At 41.3% G+C, this 19,771-nt stretch overlaps 1 protein-coding gene and 1 pseudogene across 9 annotated transcripts in view; one reads left to right on the forward strand and one right to left on the reverse strand.

Moving 5' to 3' along the window:
• Positions 1–19,771, reverse strand: part of POLE2 (DNA polymerase epsilon 2, accessory subunit) — a 44,660-nt gene that overhangs the window by 16,486 nt on the left and 8,403 nt on the right. For 6 of the 9 annotated variants that reach the window (XR_007064015.1, NM_001348384.2, NM_002692.4 and 3 more), the window contains exons 3-10: positions 19,685–19,760; positions 14,310–14,387; positions 14,083–14,176; positions 9,484–9,558; positions 6,290–6,373; positions 5,067–5,123; positions 4,586–4,634; positions 3,275–3,347 (exon numbers count right to left, since the gene is read on the reverse strand). Coding sequence is in view for 7 of the 9 variants with exons in the window: in NM_001348384.2 (NP_001335313.1) it covers positions 3,275–3,347; positions 4,586–4,634; positions 5,067–5,123; positions 6,290–6,373; positions 9,484–9,558; positions 14,083–14,176; positions 14,310–14,387; positions 19,685–19,760 (586 nt within the window). In the remaining 2 variants the exon portion in view is untranslated. Of the gene's footprint in view, positions 1–3,274; positions 3,348–4,585; positions 4,635–5,066; positions 5,124–6,289; positions 6,374–9,483; positions 9,559–14,082; positions 14,177–14,309; positions 14,388–19,680; positions 19,761–19,771 lie in introns of all 9 variants that reach the window. The other 3 variants (XR_007064016.1, NM_001197330.2, NM_001348385.2) reach the window with 2 other exon arrangements.
• On the forward strand, positions 16,573–18,469 carry STK16P1 (serine/threonine kinase 16 pseudogene 1; annotated as a pseudogene).

Below are 19,771 nucleotides of genomic sequence, written 5' to 3' on the forward strand. Positions count from 1 at the left end.
TCCAGCCCTGCAAGTTCCATTCATGATAAGTGTTCCATACAGGTGTACCAATTTTATATTTTATACCATATTTTTACTTTATCTTTTCTGTATCTAGAGAGACAAATACTTATCATTGTGTTACAGTTGCCTATAGTATTCAATACAGCAACGTGTCACACAGGTTTGTAGCACAGAAGCAACAGGCTGTACCATACAGCCTTGGTGTACAGTGGGCTATATCATCTAGGTTTGTATAAGTACACTGTGATGTTTGCACAGTGACATAATCACCTAACAACACATTTCTCAGGATGTATCCCCGTTGTTATGCAATACACAACTGTATATACATATATAAAGTAATGTTAACAGTTTTTTTCTGTTTAGTAAAATTACAGGTGATTTTCCTTTCCTTTTGTGTGCCTTCATATATTTTCTAATTTTTTTTTTTGCAATCATGAACTACATTATTAATAAGAAAAAACTTTTCTTTTTTTAAAGACTCAACTACTTTTCCAATGCAGCATACTGGCTTGAGTCGGAAACCTTGGGATCAAAGCACATCTCTAACAATAAAAAGTTTGGGCCAGGCACAGTGGCTCACACCTATAATCCCAGCCTCCCTCTGGGAGGCCGAGGCCAGTGGATCACCTGAGGTCGGGAGTTCAAGACCAGCCTGACCAACATAGCGAAACCCTGTCTCTACTAAAAATACAAAATTAGCTGAGTGTGGTGGCACATGCCTGTAATCCCAGCTACTTGGGAGGCTAAGGCAGGAGAATCACTTGAAACCGGGAAGTAGAGGTTGTGGTGAGCCAAGATGGTGCCATTGCACTCCAGCCTGGGCAACAAGAGCAAAACTCCGTCTTAAAAAAAGTTTGTGACCATGGACAAATTACCCAACCCTTCTTTTTTGGGGGGTAGGGGGACAAAGTCTCAGTGTGTCACCCAGGGTGGAGTGCAGTGGCAGGATCTCAGCTCACTGCAACCTCCGCCTCCAAAGTTCAAGCGATTCTCTCACCCAAGTAGCTGGGACTACAACCGCATGCCACCACACCTGGCTAATTTTTGTATTTTTAATAGAGACAGGGTTTCACCATGTTGCCCAGGCTAGTTCTGAACTCCAAAGCTCAAGCGATCCACCCACCTCAGCCTCCCAAATCGACACTTCTTAACCTAACTCTTCAAATGCAAAAAAAAACTAAACTGATATCTACTGCACAGGGTTACTAGAAGGAATACAAGTGATAATGTACAGAAAGCCCACAGGGCACAGTGCTTAGTACGGTGTGAGCCCTTAGATATGGTAACTGATATTGTTATTGTTCCCACCAAGTGGACCAACTGGCATTTTCAAAGGTACAGTAATAATTTTATAGTTGCTAGAGGAATGCAGTAAGTAGACATAATTGTATGATGATTTCAGTTAAGCATATACCCAAACATAAATCAGAGCATCACAGAAACACCTATTAAGCTAAATATTGAGAAATTAAACTTCAGAAAAGCCTTACTCACATCTTCCGTTTAAAAAAAAATTATTTGCATTAACTACACAATGGTAGGGAGGGTATTGAGTCAGTGTAAATCTCTTTAGGATAGGACCATGCTGTAGACCTATTTGCACTTATTTGTAAAACAGTATTTTACACATAAAACATACTCACTAAAATATTAGTTGTTGAATTGATTGACTACCACCAGATTTAGCCCCCTGAATTTTATATTTTGAAGGCATTTTAGAGAAAATTTATAATCCTAACAAGAATAAAATGATCATTTTATTTTAATGTACTTTATTACACCTCATACCAATCCTTTGGTTTACTAAGCATATACTAAGCAGTTGGATTTAGAGAAAATGGTATAATTTAAGTGGAAAATTATTTGAAACATTATAATAATGATCTCTTGGCTAAAGAGAAACAAATGGTAAACTCACAGCCAGCCAACTCAACTATACCTCTCATTCCAAAGTAGTAATTTTGAAGCTTGTACAAAACAAAAATACCATGACAATGGCAATTTTGCTCTAAATATATTCCAAAGGAAACTTACCATATTGGAAAAAAGCCACAAACTGCACCAAAAGCACTCAAATAGAGGTGAGCTTGGCTTGATTAGGGCTTGTGTTCTCCTTAGCAAGATCAGCACCTTTCCCTCAGTTACTTCAACAGCAAGAGTAGATGCTCTGCACAGGCCGCCCTGCCAGTAAACTCCCAGCCAGGAAATGTTGCCTTTGCACCTTGAATTTATACAGGCATACTAAAACTAAAATCCTTGTTGTTGTTGTTGAGACGGAGTCTCGCTCTGTTGCCAGGCTGGAGTACAGTGGTGCGATCTCGGCTCACTGCAACCTCTGCCTCCTGGTAAAACTAAAATCTTAATCTTTATGCTTCCTTTTGAAATCATCACCATTATACAGAATCTCATGGTTAGAAGGCAACTACTTTAATTCCCCCAGAGGTGGCAAACTCAAATGCTTACAGGCTCCAGGAAGATAACACTAAATAGCAAAGCAGCAGTCCACTGACACTAACTAGGGCACACATACATGCCCTGCCCAAAGTGGGCAACCACTGCAGTTTAGTTTTTGCTGTGTGAGAATTCAGGCTCTGTATTGCCAGATCCTCCTGTTAAGAGAACTCTGAAACCTAGGCCTTTATGAGAAATCTTCTAGTTTTTATACACTGGAAACTAACTCGAAATGTTTTTAAACACCTCAAAGTGGGGAGAAGAAAAGAAAGGTCTATAAACTACTTTCAACCCATGGGACACCAAGTACAATTTTTATACTATCATTCAGGTTCTGCCCAAATAATTCAAGTGACAGGGAGCTCAGCTCCTCTAAGAGAAGGCCATTTTGGAATAGCTCTAATATTATGATGCTTTCACTTATATTAAGGAGCTATAAGCTACCTCACATAACTTTCATTCATTGGAATATAAAAATGAGAATTTTATATTAACATGGAATTATATTCTTCTAAGTGTTATCCTAGTTGTCTTATCTCACTTCAACTTCTCATCAACCCCAGAGATAAAACAGACTGGAAATCTTTCCCAGTTAAAGCCGAAGTACAAAGACGGTATTGCAACTAATTGTTGGCCAATCTGCTAGTTTTCACATTACATACAAAACCCAGTCTTCTAATTCTCATTTTCCATTGCTTTTTCCATTTTGACACAAAGCCTGACACCTTTTAGTAACTGAGATATGACGTACTATCTTACATTCACTCCTGCCAGTATTACCAAATTCCCATAGAGTATAAACCAAACATTTTAATACCTAGTAGTACTAGAGGGCTCAGTGGGTGGAAATCCAAAGGCATTGACATGAAACACTTGATCTTCAAACCAACCTGAAAAAAAGTAACGTCACTTTCATTTGTCTAATCCTCTATGTTTGAAAGGACAAAATTATGTTACAACAAAGCAATAATGCCAGGCTAGTCTCATGCCCTGTGAACTAATTACAGAGGTTGCCAACCTCAATGAACCACAGTGAACAACTTTAGATCCACAGAGAGTCTCAACTTATAAAATTCATTAAATAGAAATAGATTCAGAACTTTTCACTTTTCAGTTTGGCAGTACGTGTTGATACAGATTAGGAAATGTTTCATTTTATGGCCCTATATAAAATTAAGTGTTTTTTTCAACTTTATTGAGGTATCGTTCACATACTATACAATTCACCCTTTAAAAATATATAATTCAGGGCCGGGTGCAGTGGCTCATGCCTGTAATCCCAGCACTTTGGGAGGCTGAGGCGGGCGGATCACAAGGTCAGGAGATCGAGACCATCCTGGCTAACACAGTGAAACCCCGTCTCTACTAAAAATACAAAAATAAAAAAAAATTAGCCAGGCGTAGTGGCAGGCGCCTGTAGTCCCAGCTATTAGGGAGGCTGAGGCAGGAGAATGGTGTGAACCCGGGAGGCAGAGCTTGCAGTGAGCCGAGATCGTGCCATTGCACTCCAGCCTGGGTGACAGAGTGAGACTCCATCTCAAAAGAAAAAAAAAAAAAGTATATAATTCAGGCCGGGCATGGTGGCTCACGCCTGTAATCCCAACACTTTGGGAGGCCGAGGCGGGTGGACTGCCTGAGCTCAGGAGTTTGAAACCAGCCTGGGCAACATGGTGAAACCCCGTCTCTACTAAAATACAAAAAATTAGCTAGGCATGGTGGCATGCGCCTATAATCTCAGCTACTCGGAAGGCTGAGGCATGAGAATCACTTGAACCCGGGAGGCGGAGGTTGCAGTGAGCCGAGATCGCGCCACTGCACTCCAGCCTAGGTGACAGAGTGAGACTCTGTCTCCAAAAAAAAAAGAAAAAAAAAAAAAAGGGTGTGTAATTCGGTGATTTTTAGTATATTCACAAGTTGTGTAGCCATTACTACTATCTAATTTCAGAACATTTTCATCACCCCAAAAAGATTTCTATTAGCCCATTAACAGTCTAAGAGTTATTTTGCCAAAAATATGCTCTTCTAATTAATGGTATCCCAAATTATATCATGTTAACATATTTTACCCAAAGCAGAAAGTTTTACTGGAGAATGAGAAGAAGGACAGTAACAAAGTATACTGACTTACCTTCTGCTAAGACAAAGCATGCCTCTGTGTATAAACCACTATGGAACTGGTACACAACAGTTGAGGAAAATAATTCTATTCTTGAGGCAGTAATAAAGTCAACATACATTTTGAGTCCAACAAGGCTTCTAAATAATAAATTTAAAGACTTCCCATTTGAAACTGTGAATAGACCACAGCTTAGAAAGAGCTTAAAAAATTTTAGTTTTAAATGTCCTCATGTTTAATTCTTGGTAATATTGACAGGGTGGATCATTCTTACCATGATATAAATTTCGTCAGTGATTCATCTAGATTCTCCAAATAAGAGAAAATTAAAGTTGTTCTGTCCCTGTTTAGGATTATATCTCTACATTCCTACACCAGCAACATAGAGAAGTTACATTGAGAACCCAAATAGGTAAATTTTAGAAGGATATATAATCAATTTCCCCAATTCACGTAATGCAGATTTTAAAAAATACAGACAAGTGAAGGATATAGCTTTACTAAGGTCTAGTTGGACTGTTCCAGTAGGATCTTCCAGAAAAAATTTTCCCTAAAAAAATGAAAATAAATAAATCCACATTTATGTAACAATGAAAACCGTTGACAAAAAAATTAAACTACAAGTTTGACAACAGAATACAATAGGGAGAAAGTGGATTTTAAAAATCAGCTATTATTTCTAGTCCAGGCTCTTCCATTTACTAGTCTGATAACCCCAGACTAATCACTTAACTGAGATTCTGACTCCTCACAGGTACAATGGAGAATGACTCCTACAGATAAGAAATGGCAAGAGGGACATTTGATGTCTGCCATAAGGAGGGTCTCCCCAGGTACCTTCTAAGACAGCCAACAGCATGTCCAAGGGACCAGGACATACTCTGCAGCTTGCTTGTTCAGAAACCCAGTACTCTCCGTTTATCCAGAGGTCACTACAGGCCTAATTTCAGGCTATGCAAACTGGGCTCCTGCACAAGACACTCTGTCCTGATGTCTTCTCAGGAAACCAAACACAGATGAAAAAGACACTTGGTGACTGAGAAAAGGTTTTTGTTTTTTCTGGGTTTTTTTTTTTTTTTTTTACTATTACAAAAGTTTATTTAACAAAAAGTCTAATATGAAAATGTACATGACCTAATTTTTACGTCATTGTAAAACAGGCCCTATGGAGAGAGAAAATGGGTTTCTCTGCTGAACAGCCATTATTATTTTATTTATTTATTTATTTTTGAGACAAAGTTTCGCTCTTGTTGCCCAGGCTACAGTGCAATGGCACCATCTCAGCTCACTACAACCTCCACCTCCCGAGTTCAAGGAATTCTTCTGCCTCAGCCTCCTGAGTAGCTGGGATTACAGGCATGTGCCACCACGCCTGGCTAATTTTGTATTTTTAGTAGAGACAGGGTTTCTCCATGTTGGTCAGGCTGGTCTTGAACTCCCGGCCTCAGGTGATCCGCCCACCTCAGCCTCCCAAAGTGGCTAGGATTACAGGCGTGAGCCACCGCGCCCAGCCAACAGCCATTATTTATCCTTGTTCCAAGGCTTCTGACATGATGATACTATTTCCTCGTATTACCACTATTCCAATATTGTTCTGTTGGTGAGGCGAGTTTTCAATAAAGAATACATTCCTGTGCCCACTACAAAAATGTTCTATGTAACCGACATTTCATCAATCCAAGGCCAAAAATAAAAGTTTGATGCTTATTAAGTTACCTCTTTTAACTGCGTTATCATTCCAAGAACAATCGCATCTCCGATTTTGGTTGTACTACCCAATAAGGTTTCTATTGTTTTAAGCTAAAATAAAACAAAATAAATTTTAAAGACTGTAAATATATTCTTTCAAGAAACAAAACTTTTTATAAATAACTATATTTGGGGTATACATTTCAGCATTTATAGCTACTTTACAGTAGAAAATCAAATAAAATGGAAATAAAGTTGTAAAATTAAACTTAGGATGTTTAATTTTGTCCTACAAAAAAGCTGTAAGATCAAGTGTATGATGCCTAAAGAAACACCACATCGACTCAGGCTCTTACCAATGACTGAATCCTCACACCATATCATTCTGAATAATGATAAGTACATTTATTTTTTAAATATAGAAAAGAATATCAATTTTATTTTCTTTGAACAGTACCTTTTGAAAACTAGCAAGCTATTTAAAAATATATATTCCAATTTTACTTAGTATTTTAAAAGGCTCTCATTATTATTTACATTCTCAATCTGATCTTTTTTTCTAATCAGAAAGTTTAAGGTAGTAAAAATTGGGACACTATTGTAAAAAATCCTTTCCGGCCAGGTGCAGTGGCTCACGCCTGTAATCCCAGCACTTTGGGAGGCCGAGGCAGGCGGATCACGAGGTCAGAAGATCAAGACCATGGTGAAATCCTGTCTCTACTAAAAATACAAAAAATTAGCCAGGCATGGTGGCAGGCGCCTGTAGTCCCAGCTACTCGGGAGGCTGAGGCAGGAGAATGGTGTGAACCCGGGAGGCGGAGCTTGCAGTAAGCCGAGATCGCCTTGCATTCCAGCCTGGGTGACAGAGCAAGACTCTGTCTCAAAAAAAAAACAAAAAAAACAAAAAACTTTCCATCTTTTTCTATATGTAATCCTAAATATATGTAAATACATACATATATAATTTATAACACACACCTATACAGTTTATTTACAAAGATGAAATCATAGTATATGTACTATTCTGCAACTTAACTAATTGAAGTTAATATTATCTGAGACATCTTTCCATTTTTCTACATATAGATTTCCTTCTGTTTAAAGAATAGAGATATCTATATTATACATATGACCATTTATTTCACCAAACTCCTATTAAAGGACATTTAAGTTGTTCCCAGTTTTCTACTAATAAAAACAATGTTTAATATTTCTGTGCAACTTTCTTGGCCCACTACACAGATAGAAACTTTTTTTTTTTTTTTTGAGATGGGGTTTCACATTGCCCAGGCTGGAGTGCAGTGGCACTCTCATACCTCACTGCAGCCTTAAACTGGGCTCAAGTGATCCTTCCACCTCAGCCCCCTGAGTCACCAAGATTACAGGCACTAGCCACTGCATCCAGCTACAGATAATAACTGTTGAATAAAGTTCTACACATTCTAGAAACACAATTGCTAGATAAAAGGATATATAAGTTTTCATATTTATAGAAATTACCAAGTGGAGCTTCTTTTATCTTTACGTTTTATCTTTATGTTTTCTTATTACAAATAATTCATGTTTACTATAGAAAAAAATTTAAAATATAGACAAGAAAAAAATAAAAACTTATATAATCCCATCATTCCATAATAATCACATTAACATTTAATACTGGAGTTACTCTTAAAAAATATGAACCAAGGACTGGGCGTGGTGGTTCACGCCTGTAATCCCAGCACTTTGGGAGGCTGAGGCGGGCGGATCACTTGAGGTCAGGAGTTCAAGACCAGCCTGGCCAACATGGCAAAACCCCATCTCTACTAAAAATACAAAAAAATTAGTTGGGCATGGTGGTGTGCACGTATGTCCCAGCTACTCAAGAGGCTGAGGCAGAATTGCTTGAACCTGGGAAGCGGAGGTTGCAGTGAGCCAAGATCGCACTACTGAACTACAGCCTGGGTGACAGAGCAAGACTCTGCCAGAAAGAAAGGAAAGGAAAGGGAAGGAGGAAGGGGGAAGGGGGAAGGGAAGGCAAAAGAACCTAGCTAAGAGTAGTGGTGCACACCTATTGTCCAAGCTACTCAGGAGGCTGGGGCAGGAGGATCACTTGAGGCCAGGAGTTCAAGACCAGCCTGGGCAACATGACAAGACCCCATGTCTCTATCAAAAGAAAAAAAAAAAAAAGAACCTAAAACAACACAAGAGAAGTAAAAATAACAGTATTTTTTAGCACATCATTTTTGCAATTGGTAAAAGGATATTATACAGGTAGATAAATGTAATTTAAGTAGGGAATGTGCCATCACAGATACAGAATTAAGACAGTTTGAAAAGAATAATTATTTAGTTAAGCCTTAAAATTACTTTGTCAAAGAGGAGAAAAGGGAAAAGGCTCCTGGGCTGTGGGCATCTCAGTTGCCAGAGAAAACCTAATATAGAAAACATATAGATGATCTTTGGTAGGGAAATATAAGTAATGTCAATTTCTAAAATCTAATTTATACTCTAATAAAAGTTTTGTTTGTTTGTTTGAGAGGGGTCCTTACACTGTCACCCAGGCTGGAGTACAGTGGCATGATCTCAGCTCACTGCAGCCTCAACCTCCCAAGCTCAAGTAATCCTCCCACCTCAGCCTCTCCAGTAGCTGGGACCACAGGTGCACAACATCACGCCTGGCTAATGTTTTTTATTGTTTATAAAGATGAGGTCTTACTATGTTGGCCAGGTTGTGGGACCCATTTGTGTTCTCTTATTCATTCTATAAATGTTGTTTCCTTAGTACCTTAAGTTTTCACTTCAACCAATATAACACATTCTAGTTCAATAACTGTGTGTGGTGGTCACTGAGGGATGAGTTGGGCAAGGAACCAGCATTTGAGTTCCTTAGTGTTATGGTCACTAAGGGATGAGTGAGGGCAAGAAAAGAAATGTTGAAAAGTTATCAGAAAGCCAGTGTAGTATCCAAATGAGCTAGGAATCTACCTTGGAGGCCAGAGTGTATCTGGGGCTAGCATCGTATCAGGGCCTTCTCAAAGGAAGCAGTAGCTTCTGTTAGAGATTTGTGGGACACAGGACTCTAGGAATGGACTGTATCAAAAGTGGGCATGCAGCCCATCCAGTTAGCTAAACAGTTACCAATAGTTTATTTTCATTTAAAATTCAATGAATTAGAATTAAGCAACAAATATTAAACTTACACACTTATACCCCCTACATAACTAGGATAATGTTCTAACCTGGAATTTGCTTCCGCTTTCATCAGGGTGAGAACCTATCACCGGAGGAGTAAATAATTCATGCCTGTGGGTCCTCTATAAAAAAGAAAGATTCACATGAATTCCTGAAACAGACATTTAAATATAAGATTCATTAAAATAGTGCCCTGATGAAACACTGTCCTTAAACTAATGTCACTATTACTTATTCTCCACAAATTTGAAAACCCACATAATTTAACATACAAATATCTAGTAATGTAAGTTTTAAAATTTAAGACAAAAAAAATGTAAAAATTTTAAAGGTCTATTGTGTGTATGGCAGCAGCACATTGTAGGCTGAGGATATGAAGAACAACCAAGTGTCACCCTGAGAGCATTGGGGCTAGTGAAAGAGAAGTGCCACCACACAACAAAGTTCTGTGAGGGCTGACTGTACCCCAGGCCAAAGGGGCCACTGAACAACAGCCCAGATGATAAATAAGATTTGGGTAGTAAGAAACAAAAGGAGTCTGAGATAAGACATTTCAGGGCCAGGCGCGGTGGCTCACACCTGTAATCCCAGCACTTTGGGAGGTCGAGGAGGGCGGATCACCTGAGGTCAGGAGTTCGAGACCAGCCTGGCCAACATAGTGAAACCACGTCTCTACCAAAAATACAAAAATTAGCTGGGTGTGGTGGCAGGTGCCTGTAATCCCAGCTACTCAGGAGGCTGAGGCAGGAGAATTGCTTGAATCCAGGAGGCAGAGGTTGCAGTGAGCTGAGATCGTGCCACTGCACTCCAGCCTGGGCAACAAGAGCGAAACTGTGTCTCCAAAAAAAAAAAAAAAAAAAAAAAAAAAGACATTTCAGGCAGAGAAATTATAAGAGTTAGAGTATTTAGGAAGCTATGCAAAGTTTAATACAGTTGAATTATGCGGTGCACAAGGTAGAACATGAGACAAGGCCAGAGATTAATAAGATCCATGTGGAGATACTTCCCTCCCCAACTCTCAGTCCATATAGTTTAGGTAGGATTGATACCCCTTCCCCCTTCTATAGATAGGAATTCAAGGTCTAGAAAATGAAAGTACTCCATCCTTTGGCCAGTGATTGGTTCAAGGATGAGCAAGTGCTTCAAGGTAGGCTCAAAAGAGACAGATTCAAGACTTTTGCTAGAGCTATTAGAAAAGAGGAACTCTCTTTCCAAGAGTTGCTAAGGCTACTAGTGGAGATCTTTGTCACTTTATAGGGAGAACCTATTTGAAAGTAAAATCAATTTTTTAAAAGAGGTGGGACATGGAAAGAGACAGATGCCTCCTGATATTGTGTGAGCACCTGAATCCAGCCAGGCTTGAAACTGGTGGACTTCTAGACTTCATAATACAAGCTAAGCCAATATATTCCTTTTTCAGTTTTAATCTATTTGAGTTTCTGTAACCTCCAGCTCAAAAAGCCCTGACAATACAAACTTCGTATGCCCAGCCAAGAAGTTTGTCCTATAGACAATGAGAAACAAAGATTTTGAAGTAGGATAATGATAACATCAGATTCATTTTCTGGAAGATAATTGCAATGAAAATATGGATGGACTGAACTTCAACCTGTTTATTTCACAGATGAATAAACGAGGCTCAGAAGGGATAAGTGGCACACCCACCATAACAGAGTAGACTTCAAAACATACTTAAGAAAAAAGAAATGTGGTGTTTACTGAGCACCTTCTCTGTATAAAGGACAGTGCCAAATGTGGCACAGGAGATAAACAACGAATCCACAGTCTGATCACAGGGATAAGCACCTCAAATGCAAGGCAGGGCCAAGTCCAGTCAGTGACATAAAAGACGTACTACTGAGTTGGGCACAGTGGCTCACGCTTGTGATCCTAACACTTTGGGAGGCCGAGGCGGGTGGATCACGAGGTCAGGAGATGGAGACCATTCTGGCTAACACAGTGAAACCCATCTCTACTAAAAATACAAAAAATTAGCCAGGCGCTTTGGCACATGCCTATAGTCCCAGCTACTCGGGAGGCTGAGGCAGGAGAATCGCTTGAACCCAGGAGGCGGAAGTTGCAGTGAGCCGGGATTGCGCCACTGCACTCAAGCCTGGGCAACAGAGTAAGACTCTGCCTCAGAAAAAAAAAAAAAAAAAAAAAGACGTACTACTGGGTTCAAGCAGAAAGAGATTCAGCTGGGCATGGTGGCTCATGCCTGTAATCCCAGCACTTTGGGAGGCTGAGGTGGGCAGATCACTTGAGGTCAGGAGTTCGAGACCAGCCTGGCCAACATGGTGAAACCCCGTCTCTACTAAAATAAAAAAGTTAACTGGGTGTGGTGGTATGTGCCTATAATCCCAGCTACTTGGGAGTCTGAGGAAGAAGAATCACTTGAACCCAGGAGGCAGAGGTTACAGTGAGCCAAGTTTGCACCACTGCACTCTAGCCTAGGCGACAGAGCAAGACTCTATATCAAAAATAAAATAAATAAAAAAGAAAAAGACTGCATCCAACTGAAGATCAAGACAGGCTCCAGAAAGGAGGAATCTGAGAAAAGCCTTCCAAAATAGGACGGTTTCAACAGTGGAGATAAGAGGGAAGAGCAGTCAACAGGATAAACAAAGTCACAGAAGTAGTGAAAGAAACAGAAACAATAATTCCATATTTCAGTTTTGGCTCCAGCCCAGATTATGACTACAGGAAAAGCAGAGATTAGGCCAATTATGTGTGAGAGAAGATCTTACATATTAAGGATAATCTGCATTTAATTCAATAGGCAGTGAATTTCCTTGAAAGACTTCTGTACAAAACCCACGAGGTGGTCAGAGCTATACTTTGGGCAGATTAACCTAGCAACACTATGTCGGCAATGGAAGCAGCAGAGGATGCTGGTTCCTCAAGATCATTCTTTTCAACCTTTATTTAACCTACCGCTGACCATCTGCTCCTCCTTGAAGCCTTCTTGTGCTTCTGCCATATAACACCATCCTCACCTGGCCCCCAAGTTCTATCCTCTCCCCTCTTTTTTTTTTTTTTTGAGACGGAGTTTCGCTCTTGTTGCCCAGGCTGGAGTGCAATGGCGCCATCTTGGCTCACCATAACCTCCGCCTCCCAGGTTCAAGCGATTCTCCTGCCTCAGCCTCCCAAGTAGCTGGGATTACGAGCATGTGCCACCATGCCTGACTACTTTTGTATTTTTACTAGAGACAGGGTTTCTCCATGTTGGTCAGGCTGGTCTCGAAATCCCGACCTCAGGTGATCCACCCACCTCGGCCTCCCAAAGTGCTGGGATTACAGGCGTGAGCCACTGCGCCTAGCCTCCCTCTTGTCTTTTTATCACTTCTCTTTCTCCCAAGGTCTCATCCTTGCAGTTCCATTTTTTACTCTATGCAGATGCTCCCAAATCTCTCTCTTGCTACCAACTCTCTTTCCATAGCTCCAGATGTACACTTCACTTGATACTCTCCTGGCAATCTTAACTCAAATGCTTAAAACAGAACCTGCTATCACCTTCTACAACATTCTCTTTTTCCTGTTTAATGTATTTTTCTATATTCTACTCTCTCAGACTCTAGGCCTTACTCATCTCTGATTCTTCACCCCCTCCCTTCTCCTTCACATCCAGACAGTCACCATGTGTTATAGTTTCTGCTGCTTGAGTGTGATGCCCTCATTCTACACCCCTTGCCACTTCCTTCATCCAGGCTATCATTTATGCCAAGACTAATACCACAGACTCCTAGAAGACTTCTCTCACACTCCAAGTCATCCCCATATCTGCTGGTGGAGGAAGCACTCAAAAAACCTGGCTGCGACCGAGTTTCTCTGGTATTCCAAAGCACCTCACACAAGGAGAACAGTCCCAACTCCCAAGGGTGGCATCCAAAGTGCTCCTACAATTTGGCTCCCACTTGCCTTTCCAAACTGATCCCACACTACTCCTGATTTTCTCATCATTTCCTGCTCAGAGTCCATTTTTTGCTGTACCTTTCTTCACAATCACCACCTTTTCCCCATTTCCACAAGATTAAGGCAATCTAGGTCCATGCCAAATGCCATCATTTCCTTGAAGCCTTTCCTGATTTTTCTATTGAATACATTGTTTGTATCTCTTTTATAGCACATATAAAATTCTACTTTATGTATTGCACAAATGTCTATAACTTCATAGACTGTAAGCTACTTGAAAGTGGTAAAGTATAGTAGGCAATGGTTGGGCTTTAGAGTCAGGCTGGATTAAAATCCTGTCTTACTATATACGATCTATGGGCAAATTACTAAACTTCTTTAAGCCTCAGTTTCCTGATCCGTAAAATGGGAATAATAGCATTTACACATTATTAGTATTATGAGGATTAAATGAGGTAAATAATGTATGTTAAGTGCTACCTGGCATATCATGTATTAAATAGTAACTACTATTTTTACCATCATCATTGTTGTTAAGGGGAAAATAGCTTTTTCATCTCTGTATCTTCTACACAGTCTCAATCACAGAAATCTTAATAACAGTTTATTGAATGACCAACTTTGGACCACAAAATTCCATTCTTTAAATATCCCTGAGATTTCCCTAAACTGAAACAGTCTCCTTTTCTCTCATTTTACCCAGTATCCTCCCCTCCGCCCCCTACCAAACTTACCTGGTGCAAAATGGTATATCGCTCACGAAACATCTCTGCTTTATCTCTTGGTGTTCCAAATAAATTTGGTGCAGGGTGGTTGGTCATTAACAGACTAGAAAAAGAGAATGCCTATTTTTGACTATCATAATACACAAAGGTGAGCCAAAAGTGAAGCAAGAGACTATACCTTCTGAAAAAAAAAGTACATTTGAAATTAATTTAAAATCAGTGGATGACATACTTACGGAAGAAATTTTTTTCTTTCTGAATTGTACACAAAGCGTGGAATATCAAATGCTCCTATGATATTGAAAACGTGCTCTCTGAAAAACATCCCACAAAATACAGACCTGATTTACTAAAACATAAGTACTCTAGGTGAACATGATAACTTGCATTATAAGTATTTGTAATAACACACTTTTCACATTTTCTCAGGCCAGGCACACAATTTCTTTTTCTTTTTCTTTTTCTTTTTTAAGACAGAGTTTCGCTATTGTTCTCCAGGCTAGAGTGCAATGGTGGGATATCAGCTCACTGCAAGCTCCGCCTCCTGGGTTCAAGCGATTCTCCTGCCTCAGCCTCCCAAGTAGCTGGGATCACAGGCATGCACCACCACGTCCAGTTAATTTTGTATTTTTAGTAGAGATGGGGTTTCTCCGTGTTGGTCAGGCTGATCTCAAACTCCCGACCTCAGGAAATCCACTCACCTCGGCCTCCCAAAGTACTGGGATTACAGATGTGAGCCACCATGCCCAGCCCATAATTTCTTATAGTGTCAAAAATACAATGGGTGTAAAATGTTTAGCTTGTGCATTTTCATCTCAAGGGACAAGAAAGCATTGCCAAAACTCTCAAGAAAAAAATTAATCAAGTTAATTTCCAGTTAAGAATTTCATCTGTTGAAAAAGAAGAATTATATAAACAATAGTCACATCTTAAAGAAATCTCTCCCTATATGTACTACTCTTATGAGCTACAGTATTTTTTTTTTTTTGAGACAGAGTTTCACTCTTGTTGCCCAGGCTGGAGTGCAATGGCTCGATCGTGGCTCACCACAACCTCCGCCTCCAGGGTTCAAGAGATTCTCCTGCCTCAGCCTCCCGAGTAGGTGGGATTACAGGCATGCACCACCACGCCCAGCTAATTTTGTATTTTTAACAAAGACGGGGTTTCTTTATGTTGGTCAGGCTGGTCACTAACTCCCAACCTCAGGTGATCCACCCACCTCAGCCTCCCAAAGTGCAGGGATTACAGGCATGAGCCACTGCGCCCGGCCATGAGCTACAGTATTATTAAAGGATATGATTAAGTTCCAACAATTTTTTATTTTTTTTGTTTTTGTTTTGTTTTTTGAGACAGTCTCACTCTGATGCCCAGGCTGGGGTGTGATCTTGGCTCACTGCAACCTCTTCCTCCCGGCCTCAAGCGATTCTCCCGCCTCTCAAGTAGCTGGGATTACAGGCATGTGCCACCACACCCAGCTAATTTTTGTATTTTTAGTAGAGACAGGGTTTTGCCATATTGGCCAGGCTGGTCTCAAACTCCTGACCTCAAGTGATCCGCCTGCCTCAGCCTCCCAAACTGCTGGGATTACAGGCATGAGCCACCATGCCCAACCCCAACAATTTTAAAAATCTAAAATGTTTTTTGTTTGTTGTTTGTCTGAGATGGAGTCTAGTTCTGTCGCCCAGGCTGGAGTGCAGTGGCACGATCTCAGCTCACTGCAACCTCTGCCTCCTGGGTTCAAGTGATTCTCCTGCCTCAGCCTCCCAAGTAGCTGGGATTACAGGCACCCTCCACCACGCCCAGCTAATTTTTGTATTTTTAGTAGAGACGGGTTTTCACTGTGTTGGCCAGGCTGGTCTCAAACTCCTGACCTCATGAGCTGCCTGCCTTGGCCTCCCAAAGTGCTGGGATTACAGGCCTGAGCCACCGCGCCCTGCCAAATCTAAAATGTTATGCAGAAGTGTCCCAGGAAAAGTTACACAATGGAAAAAGAGCTCCCCCTCCAATTCTGGCCATATCTTTCAGACTTATACAATATATATATAGTGTTAGAGATGGAAAACCAAAAAAAATTATTTAATTTCAGATACTTTTAATAATATAACCATGTTTAAAAGAAGTTAAAAATTTCCACAGCACTACTGTATAAATATCCCAACCTAAAAATCTTTCCTAAAATTACATGTTTATCTCCCAAATTGAAAATGATCAAAAAAGATTCATGCTACCCTAGAGGTAACAAGTATAGAGTGGCTGAGAATCACTGAACTTGAGGAAAACCTAGACTCCAGACACTGCTCCACTATTTTCTGGTAGATCAGTCTGAGTAAGTTATTGAACTTCTCATGCCATCTCTTCATCTATGAGAACAAGAGCCTCTACTGTGGTATGATATAATGACTCTCTGACAATTGAAGGTACAAAAATCCTTTACCATTCAGTCCCCACTGGACCTCCATGTAGGCTGGCTATAACATATAAACAGCCTGACAGAAATAGCCGAGCCAGGTCAGTGAGGAGTACGGGCTGGCCGACCCAGGCACTGCGCACTGAGGCCAGGGATGGGCCTGAGCCATGCACCTCCTCTGAAACTACCCTGTGCCCTGCCTTTGAGGCCTGACAGGTGTGGGAGCAGGAGCTGCCCAAAAGTGGGCTGGGGTTGGAGGAAGCATCCTGGTCGTTGCTATGTGCCCTGAGGCTTTAAGGCACCTGACCCCACCCTTGCTGAACTGGCATCACCAGGACCTGTTTACTCTAGATGAGAATCATGATCCCTGGGCGCTTAGTGCATTGCCTGGAAGAGCCCACTCATCCTGGACGAGCCCTTTGGCAGCCTCAGACAGTCCTTGAGGAGGATGACTGAGACATCATGGGCCATGCACTGTGTGCCTGCTCTTAGGGAAATGTCATCATTGACAATAGCTATTTCTTCATCCAGAACCTGGGGGAGAGTGGGTTCAGCCATGTGGACCTAGTGGAGGGGTTACAGGATGGACACTTCTACGCCCTGAAGCGAATCCTGTGTCACGAGCAGCAGGACTGGGAGGAGGCCCAGCCAAGAAGCAAACATGCATCACCTCTTCAATCACCCCAACATCCTTTACCTCACGGCTTACTGTCTGAGGGAGTAGGGTGCTAAGCATGAGGCCCAGCTGCTGCTTCCGTTCTTTAAGAGAGATATACTGTGGAATGGAGAGAAAGGCCGAAGGACGATGGCAACTTCCTGACTTAGGATCAAATCCTTCAGCTCCTGCTGGGTATCTACAGCGGCTTGAGGCCATTCATGCCAAGGGTTAGGCCCACAGGGACCTGAAGCCCACCACTATCTTGCTTGGAGACGAGGGGCAGCCAGTTTTAATACACTTGGATGCCATGAATCAAGCATGCCTCACATGAAGGGCTCCCACCAGGCCCTGACCCTGCCGGACTAGGCGACCCAGCAGTGCACCATCTCCTACTGAGCCCTAGAGCTCTTCCCTGAGCAGTCACTGTGTCATTGATGAACAGACTGATGTCTGGTCCCTGGGCTGTGTGATATATGCCACAATGTTTGGGGAAGGCCCTTACGAAATGGTGTTCAAGAAACGTGACAGTGTGGCCCTTGCTGTGCAGAACCAACTCAGCATCCCACAAAGCCCCACGCATTCTTCAGGAGTGTGGCAGCTCCTGGCCTCAATGATGACTGTGGACCTGCAGCAGCACCCTCACAATGCTTGCCTCCTCAGTCAGCTGGAGGTACTGCAGCCCCCAGCTCCTGGCCAGCACACTGCCCAAATCTGAACAAAGCAGTGGCCATATTGAGAAGGTGGCGCCTTGTGCCTTGGAAAGAGGCTCCCATCACTCACTGGAATCTCTACCCATTCTTTCTTTATTTTATTTTATTTATTTTATTTTTTTTTTTTTGAGAGACAAGTCTCATTCTGTTGTCCAGGCTGGAGCAGAGTGGCACGATCTTGGCTCACTGCAACCTCCGCCTCCCGGGTTCAAGCGATTCTCCTGCCTCAGCTTCCCAAATAGCTGGGACTACAGGCATGCACCACCATGCCCAGCTAATTTTTGTATTTTTTAGTAGAGACGGGGTTTTGCTGTATGTTGGCCAGGCTGGTCTCGAACTCCTGACCTCAGGTGATCTGCCCACCTCGGCCTCCCAAAGTGCTGGGATTACGGGCATGAGCCACTGCGCCCAGCCTGCTTTTCTGCTTTCTTACCCCCAAGAGCAACACCTGGACAAGGGGCTTTACTGAGTGGGGGTGGAATAGGGGTTGGGAAAAGGAAAACTGATGCGATATGGTACATGGCTCTGTGCAGGACTGTTGAGCTCATATTACGTTCTGCCTCCAAATCTGGGAGCAAGAGAATGTATAAACAGAAGAATAAAGTGAATGCAGATTGGTGTGGGGGAAAATAAGTAAATAAATAAATAACAGGTAACTTTAGGGTAAACAACGAGTAACGTCTATTTTAGGATAATAATCAAACTTCAGTACAATCATTTTGAATTTCTATTGATGGCTTTAGGAACATTCATTATACTCCAGTATTTATTTTATGTATTTTTTTTGAGACAGAGTCTCACTCTGTCGCCCAGACTAGAGTGCAGTGGTATGATCTCAGCTCACTGTAACCACCACCTCGCAGGCTCAAGCAATTCTCCTGTCTCAGCCTCCCAAGTAGCTGGGATTACAGGTGCGCCCCACTACCGCCCAGCTAATTTTTGTATTTTTAGTAGAGATGGGTTTCACCATGTTGGCCAGGCTGGTCTTGAACTCCTGACCTCAAGTGATCCAGCCACCTTGGCCTCCCAAAGTGCTGGGATTACAGGCATAAGCCACTGCATCTGGTCACACTATAGTATTTTAAATGAGTTTGCAAGGGTAAAATTAAAAATCCTCAATTTCTCTATTTTTTTTTTAGCAGTTATAAGTTCTGACAGGGAGAAGATTATAACTTCTGACTAAAATAAAGATAATGACTCCTTTCAATCATCTCCATTGCCCCAAATAGGAAAGAAGTGGCAATGTTAAAACTGTCTCTCAGCCCATTTTCCCCAGTGTTTTCCTTCCAGTTAAATGCCATCAATTTGTATAGAAGTATCATATCAAGAGGAAAGAGGGATATTCAGAGAAATAAAACCCAGAAGAATTACTGCCATATAAATTCTTAAACCTAAAAACATGACATAGTGGAGTCACAAAACTGAGGTCCTACCCTCATTTGCCATTCACCATGTGACCAAGTAAAGTTGCTGAACTTCTCTGGACATGGTACTTTCCTAAGAGCAAAGTAAATTATACTTCTGAATATTCATTTCAATTCAACTCATTTGTAGCATACAGAATAAAAAGTCAGATCAACCGGTTGGGTAGGCAGCAAAAGTTAGTAATGAATGGTACAAGCAACACTGTAACCTCAAATCCCAGGAAAAACCAGTAAAGATGAGTCATTTAATAATGAGGTTTGCAAAGAAAGCCATTATTTAAAAAGACACACAGAAATAACAACAGTAATCACTGTAGAAACGTTGATCACTAATAATTTTCCAAGACAATAATTAAAAATAAGTGCTCAATAACACCTCCAAGGAGGAAAAAAGTTAACTGTACCCACATACATAGTTTCATCAACAGACTGACTGCATTCCTGGACTGCTGCTTCCACCACAGATCGTTCAATCATGTTTGATGACACTGAAAAGAGA

This window comes from Homo sapiens, chromosome 14, assembly GCF_000001405.40.
Source record: "Homo sapiens chromosome 14, GRCh38.p14 Primary Assembly".
NCBI lineage: Eukaryota > Metazoa > Chordata > Mammalia > Primates > Hominidae > Homo > Homo sapiens.